The sequence below is a fragment of the Homo sapiens genome, chromosome 3, assembly GCF_000001405.40.
Source record: "Homo sapiens chromosome 3, GRCh38.p14 Primary Assembly".
In the NCBI taxonomy this organism is placed as follows: domain Eukaryota; kingdom Metazoa; phylum Chordata; class Mammalia; order Primates; family Hominidae; genus Homo; species Homo sapiens.
The window spans coordinates 129,690,874-129,702,899 of NC_000003.12; the positions used below are offsets into that span (position 1 = coordinate 129,690,874).

General features: G+C 39.1%; 1 protein-coding gene across 14 annotated transcripts in view, besides 2 other annotated features; it reads right to left on the reverse strand.

The window, feature by feature from the left end:
* TMCC1 (transmembrane and coiled-coil domain family 1) overlaps nucleotides 1-12,026 on the reverse strand; it is a 245,920-nt gene that overhangs the window by 43,082 nt on the left and 190,812 nt on the right. The window lies entirely within an intron of this gene.
* Nucleotides 110-727: an enhancer, noted in NCBI's record as "H3K4me1 hESC enhancer chr3:129409826-129410443 (GRCh37/hg19 assembly coordinates)". NCBI's record gives its function as "activates a minimal SCP1, AML or CMV promoter by ChIP-STARR-seq in naive H9 embryonic stem cells {active_cell/tissue: H9 hESC(naive)}" and the evidence as "EXISTENCE:reporter gene assay evidence [ECO:0000049][PMID:30033119]".
* Nucleotides 4,980-5,591: an enhancer, noted in NCBI's record as "NANOG hESC enhancer chr3:129414696-129415307 (GRCh37/hg19 assembly coordinates)". NCBI's record gives its function as "activates a minimal SCP1, AML or CMV promoter by ChIP-STARR-seq in naive H9 embryonic stem cells {active_cell/tissue: H9 hESC(naive)}" and the evidence as "EXISTENCE:reporter gene assay evidence [ECO:0000049][PMID:30033119]".

Below are 12,026 nucleotides of genomic sequence, written 5' to 3' on the forward strand. Positions count from 1 at the left end.
AGATGGCAATGAATTTATCTGACAGAACCAAGTAAACTGAGTTACTAGATAAATGTACCTCCTCATTGACTGTTTTAGCCTGGGTACATCTCTTCTTAGCTCCCAAAGGAAATCCTAAGTGGCAGTAGGACTTTAGTTTTGCTGATTTCCTTGTTCTCATTTGTTTCTTCTCTTGCTGACTTTTTGTTTCTGGTTTATGCATGGTCAGTAAGTTACTCCTCACTGATGGCAGCACTAATTGATAATTTGGTTTTATGGTTTGACCATTTGAGGTCTCTACAGAAGAGTGATAGATATCTATTCTCTGTTGAATGAGATATCAAAACATTATCCAGCTTGTCAGACTTTTCTGTCCATTTGTCTATGTCGAGTGTAATTCAATTAAGAATTCTGGCTCTGCGTGGTGGCTCATACTTATAATCCCAGCACTTTAGGAAGGCTGAGGTGGGCAGATCACTTGAAGCCAGGAGATTGAGACCAGCCTGGGCAATGAAAGGGAACAGCTCTTTGAGATCTGGACCAGTGAGGTTTTGTGATTCTGTGTTTACTTTTGACCCGTGGCTAAAAAGTTGTAGAACTAAAGCCATAGGTCTTTATGTGTCCTGTAATTCAGAAACACCACAACAGCCAGGCGTGGTGGCTCATGCCTGTAATCCCAACATTTTGGGAGGCTGAGGTGGGAGGATCACTTAAGGCCAGGAGTTTGAGACCAGCCTGGGCAACATAACAAGACCCTGTCTCTACAAAAATGATAAATAAAATTAGCCGGGCATGGTGGTACATGCCTGTAGTCCCAGCTACTTGGAAGGCTGAGGTAAAGGGATCATTTGAGCCTAGGAGTTTGAGCTGCAGTGAGCTATGATTTCAGCCTGGGTTTGAGTGAGACTCTATCTTTAAAAAACAAAACAGAAAGACCATGGCCTCTTGTTTGTAAGTATAAAACATTTTCCTACCTTTAGAGAGTATTAATAAATTAGATTATAATGTCTCCTAAATTAAAGGACCTCGGATCTCATTCGTTTTACAGAGCTAAATAAGCACATATATATATGTCAAACATCCCTACAAATCTAAGAAAAGAAAAAAGTGAACATCTGACACTTTAAATATGCTAGACAAAGAACAAAAGATTCTTCTTACAGATTCTATCAGTTTGGAAACATTTTAAGAATCCAAATTCACATACTTAAGGTAAATATTTGGCAAACTGAGGCTAGTATCAGAGTTAACTATAATACTATATACAGTTTATTTCACTTGGGGTTTGTTTTTTCATGTAGAAAAAATTTAATCTGAACTTTGTAAACTTACTTATACAGGTTTAGTGATAAAATTAATATTACTCTTCTTTTGTAATGTTTAGTATTTTAAAAACGAAAGTTTGTGTTAATCTAAATTGAATCACAATGCTGACAAGCTTTTTATATCAATAGCAATTATGTGTCAGCTTAAATATCTCCAGGATCTTATGGTAATTTAAAAATCACAGACTAATGTTAAATGGAGCTAATTAATAGTAATTTTTGGATGCCCAGATGAATTTCTAATTAGAAGAGTAAAACATTGTTTAAACATAGTTTTAAGCTTACATACTTTTGCTTGTTTTGTATATGCTATTAGAGTGGTTATATCTTTGAGTAATGTTAACAAATGGCTTCATTTTTGCCTTGTTAAGAAGGTGTTAAAGAGATGTGTGTGACTATAGAAAGTCTGCTATGTGTATTTGTGAGCTTTACTAGTCTGCTAAGATGCTTGTGTATGACGTAGTTCTTATTATCCATTCTCTCTACCCAGTTTTCTCTCTGAAACAGAAGTCATAATTGATACAGGTGGTTATAACTACACTAGGAACAATAGTAACAGAGAAATATAAGGTGTAAGTCTTTTTGTTTTTAAAGGAAAAGGAGCATTTTTTTGTCCCAAACTAAAGTAACAGTTTGTTAAAGAATGTAAAAGACAAATCATTTATTTATTTATTTATTTATTTAAGATGGGGTCTTGCTCTGTTGCCCAGGCTGGAGTGCAGAGGTACCATCTCGGCTGACTGCAATGTCCATCTCCCGGGCTCAAGTGATCCTCCTACCTCAGCCTCTCAAGTAACTGGGACTGCAGGTGCACACCACCATGCCCAGCTAATTTTTGTATTTTTTTGTGGAGATGGGGTTTCAGCATGTTTCCCAGGCTAGAAAGACAAATCTTAAAAAGTGAATTTGATTTGCCTTGTAAAATATACTACTGGGATGTGAAAAGAAGCCATGAAACATGTTAAAATTTTGGCAACATTTAATCAGCTTTGATGGGTTTGCGTCTTTGGTTTACTGATTAATGCCTTCATCTATAATATGAAAGATGATTCTTATTTGTGTATAATTTTCTTAGAGAGCACAATAATTCTCTGGCTTTATGTTGGATTATGTTCTAGATGATTAAATACAAAACAAACCAAACCGGAAAGAACAAAGGTTCTTTACTTGTGAAAGAGCTTAGGTTCTTTACAATTGTAGTACCTTATCTTTTATTCTCATTTTGATTAAATAATCAAGTATTGTTTCTTATCCATGATACTATCTTAATCAGGGGCCCAAATGTCCTTTGTTAACTCTTTTGATCTTGCCTTCCCCAAGATTGAATTTTTTTTTTTTTTTTTTTTTGAGACAGGGTCTCTCTGTGTCATCTAGGCTGGAGTGCAGTGCCTCAACCTTCCGGGCTCAAGTGATCCTCCCACCTCAGTCTCCCAAAGTGCTGGGATTATAGGCATGAAACACTGTGCCCATCCCATGTTATCTTATTGTTCTATTTTTTGTGGCTATATGAGGAAGCCCTTTCACTTTCTCCTTAAACTACTTCTAACCCACATTTTAGTAGATTGATTCTGCCTCTGTGATCTGAATAAAACATTAAGTAGTATCTGATTTTCATGGAATACTGAGCATTCAGAAACATACTGAGTTTTCCTTAACTTATGGCAATACTGTTATTTGCATAGGATCAATACCAATCTCATCTCCTTTTTATCAAGATATAATTGGATTTTGTAACTGTATATACTGGAATCTCATAAATGAGAACATCACATTTGAGAATAATTCTCATTGACAAACTACTTTAAGAAACAATAGTTGACTTGATATAGGGAGCCAATGCCTAAAAGAAAGTACTCCCAGGAACACTGGCCTGATTCCTGAGGTGGTAAGGAAAGTCACTTCCTGGCAAGCCTTAGAAAATACTGGGGACTTGAAGATGAGATTAATTCACCCAAATTTATAGGTACCACAGGTGAAATCTGGTGAGAGAGTTTCTCAGGTGTATTTTCCTAACCTTAGTATAGTAAATAATAAAGAGTGTTTAAAAGTCCAATCTGAATCCTTACGAAAACGTCCACACAGAAGTTAACTGTGTTGTCTTAGTAATTGCTCAAAACTGTATGGCTCTGGATTTGCAAAGATAGTTCAAGGATGCCCCTGTATGACTAACTAGCACTGTGGCTACACCTATGTGAATAATCAGGCCAAACCTAATGAGACTGTCAGAAACGTTTACACCTGAGTAACTTCAGCGTGCCTATGGGCTAGGTAAAGTCAGGTTAAGACCTGCTAGGCTGCATTCCCAGCAACTTCAGGTATTCTTAGTCACAAGATGAGATAGGAGGTCACCATGAGATACAGGTCATAAAGACCTTGCTGATAAAACAGGTTGCAGTAAAGAAGCCAGCTAAAACCCACTGAAACCAAGATGGCGATGAGAGTGACCTCTGTTCCTCCCCACTGCTACACTCCCACCATTAGCTCCAAGGCAGTGTACAAATGCCAAGGCAATGTCAGGAAGTTACCCTATATTGGTCTAAAAAGGGGAGGCATGAATAATCTACCCCTTGTTTAGCATATAATCAAGAAATAACCATAAGAATGGGCAGCCCCTGGGGCTGCTCTGCCTATGGAGGCCATTCTTTTATTCTTTTACTTTCCTAATAAACTTGTTTTTACTTTACTCTATGGACTCGCCCTGAATTATTTCTTGTGCGAGATCCAAGAACCCTCTCTTGGGGTTTGGATTGGGATGGCTTTCTGGTAACAAGACTAACTATTTTGTGATCAAGAATAACATTTGGAGATATTTGGGAGGCTGAGATGGGAGAATCACTTAAGCCCAGGAGTTGAAATTTGCTTTGAGTTGTGATTGTACCACTGCACTCCAGCCTGGGCGACAGAGCGAGACTCTGTCTCAAAAAAAAAAAAAAAAAAAAAAAAAAAAAATCATAATTAATAATAACCTTTGAAAATTATTCTTGATCACAAGAGAGATGGGAGACTGTCAGCAAAATTTATGGAAGACCAAAATGGTAAAAGATTTTGAATGTCCTTTCAAGGGAATGCTGGGTGTTGTCTATTGGACCCTTTGAAGTTATCTGATTGAATAAAGATGTGAATCTTTGTCTTTGGCTAGGTTGTTTTCCAAGTCTTTAGAGACAGAAATTGCCTCATGGACAGTGTTTGTGATGCAATGTGTATTAGTCTGTTCTCATGCTGCTAATAAAGACATACCGAAGACTGGGTAATTTATAAAGGAAAGAGGTTTAACTGACTCACAGTTCCACAGGGCTGGGGAAGCCTTGGGAAACTTACAATCATGGCGGAAGGGGAAGCAAACACATCATTTCTCACATGGTGGCAACAAGAAGTGCCAAGCAAAAGGGGGAAAGCCCCTTTTAAAACTATCAGATCTCATGAGAACTCACTAGCATGAGAACAGCATGAGGGTAACTGGCCCCGTGATTAAATTACCTCCCACCAGGTCCCTCCAACAACACATGGGGATTATGGGAACTACAATTCGAGATTTGGGTAGGGACACAGCCAAATCATATCATTCTGCCCCTGACCCCTCCCAAATCTCATGTCCTCACATTTCAAAACCAATCATGCCTTTGAGGACTAAGCTCTGATTTTTGTAAATCTTGCCCAAATTCCTATCTAAGGAGTTTCAGGAGTCATGCCCTACAAACCATAAATTCTCATCAGCTGGGTTTTATTTAACCCTATGTATCATGACTTACTTTCCAATCTGACTCTGGCATAACGTTATGTGACAAAGAAGAAAATCAAAATATTTTACCCCAAAACATATTTCTCTGCCATATTTTGAAATGGCCTTGCAAGGCCATGCTTTGTAGGGGTAAAATCTGCATCTGTAAAGAATCTCTATTAAACAGCTAGATCTTTTTCTTCCAGGCCCTCCCAATCCTGAAGAGATTAACTGAGAGTCTAGCACCTTTTAGAGGTCTGAATAGGAAACATTTGTCACCTATTGTCTCTAAGGGCAGCTACTATGAGACTTCAAAAGAACCTTGGTCTCCACCATCTTTTATCTTAACCTGAACATTTCCTTTCTATTAATCCCAGGTCTTTAGACAAACTCAACCAATTGTAAACCAGAAAATGTTTAAATCTGCCTATAGCCTGGAAGCCCCTGCTTCGAACTCTCCCGTCTTTGTGGACCAAACCAATGTATTTCTCAAATGTATTTGATTGATGTCTCATGCTTCCCTAAAATGTACAAAACCAAGCTACAACCCAACTATCTTGGGCACATGTTCTCAAAACCTCCTGAGGGCTGTGTCATGGGCCATGGTCACTCATATTTGGCTCAGAATAAATCTATTCAAATATTTTACAAAGTATGACTCTTTTTGTTGACACCTTCCCAACAGTCCCCGAAAGTCTTAGCTCATTTCAGCATTAACTCAAAAGTCCATAGTCCAAAGTCTCATGTGAGACAAGGCAAAGTCTTTTCCGCCTATGAGCCTGTAAAATAAAAAGCAAGTTAGTTACTTCCTAGATACAATGGGGGTACAGGCATTGGGTAAATACACCCATTCCACATGGGAGAAACTGGCTAAAATGAAGGGGCTACAGGCCCCATACAAGTCCAAAAATCCAGCAGGGCAGTCAAATCTTAAAGCTCCAAAATGATCTCCTTTGACTCTATGTCTCACATCCAGGTCACACTGATGCAAAAGGTGAGCTCCCATGGCCTTGGGCAGCTCTACCCCTGTGGCTTTGCAGGGTACAGCCCTGCTCCTGGGTGCTTTCATGGGGTGGCGTTAGGTGTCTGCAGCTTTTCCAGGTGCACAGTGGAAGCTGTCAGTGGATCTACCATCCTGGGGTCTGGAGAATGGTGGCCCTCTTCTAGCAGCTCCACTATGCAGTGCCCCAGTGGGGACTCTGTGTGGGGGCTCCAACCCCACATTTTCCTTCCGCACTGCCCTAGCAGAGGTTCTCCATGAGGGCTCTGCCCCTGCAGCAAACTTTTGCCTGGACATCCAGGCGTTTCCATACATCCTTTGAAATCTAGGTGGAGGTTCCCAAACCTCAATTCTTGACTTTTGTGTACCTACAGGCTCAACACCACATGGAAGCTACCAAGGTATAGGGCCTTCACCCTCCAAAGCCATGGCCTGAACTGTATCTTGGCCCTTTTTAGTTAAGGGTGGAGCAGCTGGGATGCAGACCACCAAACCTGTGGGCTGTACACAGCAGGGGGGTCCTCGGCCTGGCCCACGAAGCCATTTTCTCCTCCTAGACCTCTAGGCCTGTGATGGGAGGGGCTGTTGCAAAGGTCTGTGACATGCCCTGGAGACATTTTCCCCATTGTCTTGGTGATTAACATTCAGTTCCTTGTTACTTATGCAAATTTCTGCAGCAGGCTTCAATTTCTCAGCAGAAAACAGGTTTTTCTTTTCTTCTGCATCACCAGGCTGCAAATTTTCCAAACTTTTATGCTCTGCTTCCTCTCAAACACTTTGCCACTTAGAAATTTCTTCTGCCAGATACTGTAAATAATCTCTCTCAAGTTCAAAGTTCCACAGATCCTTAGGGCAGGGGCAAAGTGCCGCCAGTCTCTTTGCTAACACATAACAAGAGTCACCTTTGCTCTCGTTGTCAACAAGTTCCTCATCTTCATCTGAGACCATCGCAGCCCGGACTTTATTGTCCATATCACTATCAGCATTTTGGTCAAAGCCATTCAACAAGACTCTAGGAAGTTCCAAACTTTCCTGCATCTTCCTGTCTCCTGAGCCCTCCAAGTCTCTAGGAAGTTCCAAACTTTTCCACATTTTCCTATCTTCTTCTGAGCCCTCCAAACTGTTCCAACCTCTGTTACCCAGTTTCAAAACTGCTTCCACATTTTTGGGTATCTTAATAGCAGTACCCCACTCTACTGGTACCAATTTACTATATTAGTCAATTTTCATACTGCTATGAAGAAATACCCAAGACTGGGTCATTTATAAAGAAAAAGAGGTTTAATGGACTCATAGTTCCACATGGCTGGGGAGGCCTCACAATCATGGTGGAAGGCGAAGGAGGAGCAAAGGCACGTCTTACTTGGCGGCAGGCAAGACAGCATGTACAGGGGAACTGCTCTTTATAAAACCATCAGATCTCATGAGAACTCACTATCATGGGAACAGCATGAGGGTAACTCCCTCATGATTAAATTACTTCCCACTGGGTCCCACGACACATGGGGATTATGGGAACTACAATTCAAGATGAGATTTGGGTGGGGACATAGCCAAACCATATCACAATGTAAATGAATTCTGTCTGGGAGAGAATATAAATCTCTTTGAGTCCAATTCTCATTTGGACTGATTTTAACATTTTATTGGTTCTTTCATTAATTAGTGAGCTAAAATTCTCTGTGTGCTCAATTTGTACATGAGTTATAATTTTACCTTAAGAAAATAACCTTTCACATTTGGGTCTGTACTTTTTCTTTTTTAAAGCAACTAATTAAAAAGTAATTGTTTAGTTAGAGTTAGCAAGCTAAAGCCCTCTGCCTATTTTCTTAAGGCCTGTACAAAAGAGCTACAAAATATTTTTACGTTTTTAAGGAGTTGTAAACAACAATAAAGAATACATTACAGAGAACATACAAGGGCCTCAAAGCTTAAGATATCTAGTATCTGGCCCTTTATAAAACAAGTTATCTGCAAATCCCTGCTTTATTTTAATATAAGCAATCAACTTGACAATATAGAAGAAGGTGAGAATTAAATCAACATTTCAGTAGCAAAGTCAAGTTAGGACCCAGACTGAGAAAATCTGTTCTTTAACTAAAAAACTATCCAGATATGTAGCAGGGATATTTTATTTGATTACATGGAAGATTTCCTTTGAAAAAAAGGAAAGAAACTTTTAGGCCAGGCACAACGGCTCATGTCTGTAACTGCAGCATTTTGGGAGGCCAAGGCAGAGTATCAGAGGCTTTTGAATAGGGGCTGGGTAAAATAACACTGAGACTTACTGGGCTGCACTTCCAGAAAGTTAGGCATTTTAAGTCACAGGATGAGATAGGAGGTCAGAACAAGATACAGGTCATCAAGACCTTGCTGATAAAATAGGCTGCAGTAAAGACGCCAGCGAAAAGTTCATTATATGCTAATTACAATGCATTAGCATGCTAACAGACACTTCCACAAGTGCCATGACAGTTTACAAATGCCATGGCAACGTCCAGAAGTTACCCTATATGGTCTAAAAGTGGGAGGAACCTTGAGTTCAGGGAATTGCCCACCCCTTTCTCAGAAAACTCATTAGTATTCCACCCCTTGTTTCACATATAATCAAGAAGTAACAATACATATCCTTAGTTGAATAGCTCAAGCCACTGCTGTCTATGGAGCGGCTATTCTTTTATTCCTTTACTTTCTTAATAAACTTGCTTTCACTTTATGGATTCGCCTTGAACTCTTTCCTGACAAGATGCAAGAACCCTCTCTTGGGGTCTGGATTGGGACCCCTTTCCTGGGTAACCAGAGGACTGCTTGAAGCCAGGACTTCCAGACCAGGCTGGGCAACATAAAGAGAATCCATCTCTATCAAAACTAACAACAGCAAAAATTAGCAGGGTATGGTGTGGGGCATGCCTTGTAGTCTCAGCTACTTGGGGAGGCTTAAGGTAGAAAAACAGCTTGGGCCCAGGAGGTTGAGACTGCAACTGCACTCCAGCCTGGGAGACAGAGTGAAATCCTGTCCCTAAAACAAATAAATGAAACAAAACAAAAAAACCTTAGGTATTACTTTATAAAGGAGCTGTCCATTACTATTTTTTTCACTGAGTATTTTCACACTTCTCATCATTGATGGAAGTTTACTTAATATACCCTTAAGACAAAAACAAAACTGAACACAAATTTCATTGGAATCTAATTTATGGTCGGGTACTGTGGCTCATGCCTGTAATCCTAGCACTTTGGGAGGCTGAGGCAGGATGATCACTTGAGCTCAGGAGTTCCAGACTAGCTTAGGAACATAGTGAGACCTTGTCTCTAATCTTTATTTTTTAAAAAGAAAATTAAAAAAAAAATCTAATGTATTAAATAAATCGGCATATTGCTAAATAAATCTGGGTAATAAAAAAGACAAAAAAACCTATTAAGTTCAAAATCATCTCTGTCAAAATATTTTTTCCTCAGTAATACAAACCTAATACTAGTCATCTTTACTGTGTTAGACACTGTTGAATATTGGGAGATGCTGAAAATTTCACAGGGAAATAGATTTTACCCTTCCAAAATTTCTGGGAAAAAGATGTCTTTTAAAAATCTTTTTTTTTTGAGACGGAGTCTCGCTCTGTTGCCAGGCTGGAGTGCAATGGTGCAATCTCGGCTCACTGCAACCTCTACCTCCTGGGTTCAAGTGCTTCTCTTGCCTCATCCTCCGGAGTAGCTGGGATTGCAGGTGCACGCCACCATGCCTGGCTAATTTTTGTACTTTTAGTAGAGATGGGGTTTCATCAGGTTGGTCAGGCTGGTCTCGAACTCCTGACCTCGTGATCTGCCTGCCTCAGCCTCTCAAAGTGCTGGGATTACAGGCGTGAGCCACTGCGCCCAGCCAAAAAAAAAAAAAAATCTCTTTATTATACCACATTTTAAACACTGGAAAAGCAGCTTTGATTAACTCATGGCCCATACAATGGTATACCCTCCCCCATTATTCGGAAGCAAATCCTTGACAAAAGATGTTCTTAATAAAAGCCAATACTAGTTCCAGAGGCTTTCATATCATTAAAATCTACCTCTACTGTCAGATGTCATCAATATGACTTTACTTTCTGGATAAAATTCTTAATGCTCTAATGCTCTCCTTACTTCTCTTTCCACTCTATTTTATTCATGAAGGATCCAGTGGGGAAAACTGTCCAAAGGCCAGGGAATTTTATCTGTTCCCACAGACTGGCTTTCTTGATGCTGATATCTGATGACTGAGTGAATAAGTTTTTCCGAAAGTGGCAAAAGATGGGAAAATAAAAGTTGAGTCAAGGAAAAAAGATAAATCTAATAATCAATTAACATCCGCAGTCACTGAAAACAGAGAACAGATCTACAAAGAAGGCATTAAGAATAAAATGTGGCAAATCAGTTGGCTGTGCATTACTCAAGAAGTCTCTTCTGTTCTCTCTCACCTGGCAATCACACTTCAGCTAGAAAGTCCCTAATTGCATTAACCTCCTGCTGGGATTCAGTAAGAGGTAGATTTTGTTTGACTTCAGCAGCTCTCTTTATGTAAAAGCGAACCCCCATAACCAGCCAGTGGGTGGAGGAACGGAAAAATGAGAAAGCAAGGAAATGGAAAGAAGTTTAAAATCTTTTGAAATTACTGTGGTCATATGAATATATAAATAAGGCAAGTACTTTATTTCATTGCTTAGAACCAATTAGTTCAGAAAGGAGGGCAAGAGAGGCTTTTGTTTAGTGCCAGAATTATGAAATTTCAGGAAAGAATACAGGCACTGACCTTCAGACACTAAATTATGTCTTGCTTTCCAAGAAATACAGTAAGTAACAAAGACTGCTTATTTAGGTACTGCCTACCTCAATGGAATCATGTACCACCCAGGGGACTCAAAGGTGCTGCAGAGAGCTGTTTTGAAATTGCAAAACATCATATAAAGCCATGATGGTAGTACCACCTCCAGACTCAAAGATGGGCCAGGTAATTTCCAAGTACTACTTACAAAGCAACTGGACAGGCACACCAAAACTTATTTCATAAAATAAAATGATTCACCTGATTCTTGTTTTTTAAAAAATAGAAAAAAATTTTTTAAAAATAAAATGGTATAATAAAATAATATTTTCAATGTCCTGAGAAATAGTATAGAATAGTGGTCTCCAAACCTGAGGTCCATAAAGAATCAATTGTTTTCAGGATTTGCAAAGGCCCAACAGAAAATGTATGTTTACCTTTAATAAAGTTGGATAGGCAGATTTAAATAATATGTAACTTTGTCCGGAATTATAACTTCTCCAGGTGGTATCATTCTACCAGTGCCGTTTAGAAATGCCAACTGACTACTGGTCCCCAATTGTTTTTTTTTTTTTTTAAGAGAAAATAATACATGTTGCTGTAACATTTTCATAATAATAGGTTTATGAGAAAGAAAAAAAGAATCTCTGGTGGGGACCAGTTGATTTAAGTTTTATTTTCCAAGTGAGGCCATACCTTCAATCTTAAAAAATATATATTGAGAAATTTCAAAAGTGTAAAGTAAATCATTAAAATTTCCCCAAGCATCACAATTCAGTTCTGTATTGCTGGAAAACTACCACTTGAAAGTAATATATAGGTAAACCATGTTGCTTTTAAAAATGCTGTTTACCATAGTGAAGAGCTATTTCAGGCTGAATGCCATGAATGTCAGAGGTACATAAACCATTTCTTGAAATCCTTAGTTGATAGCTCTTTTATCATTTCCAAATCCCAGGTGAACAACATACCAAGTATGTTGTCTCAGTTATGAAAAATAAACATTTTCTATATTATCAGAAAATATGAAGATTGTTAAAAAAGAAAAATGGCATTTGATGGGCTATTTCAAGTCCATGTAAAAACAAGGATTTGAGGCGGGTAGATCACTGGATATCAGGAGTTCGACACCCGCCTGGCTAACATGGTGAAACCCCGTCTCCACTAAAAATACAAAAATTAGCTGGGCGTGATAGCGTGCGCCTGTAATCT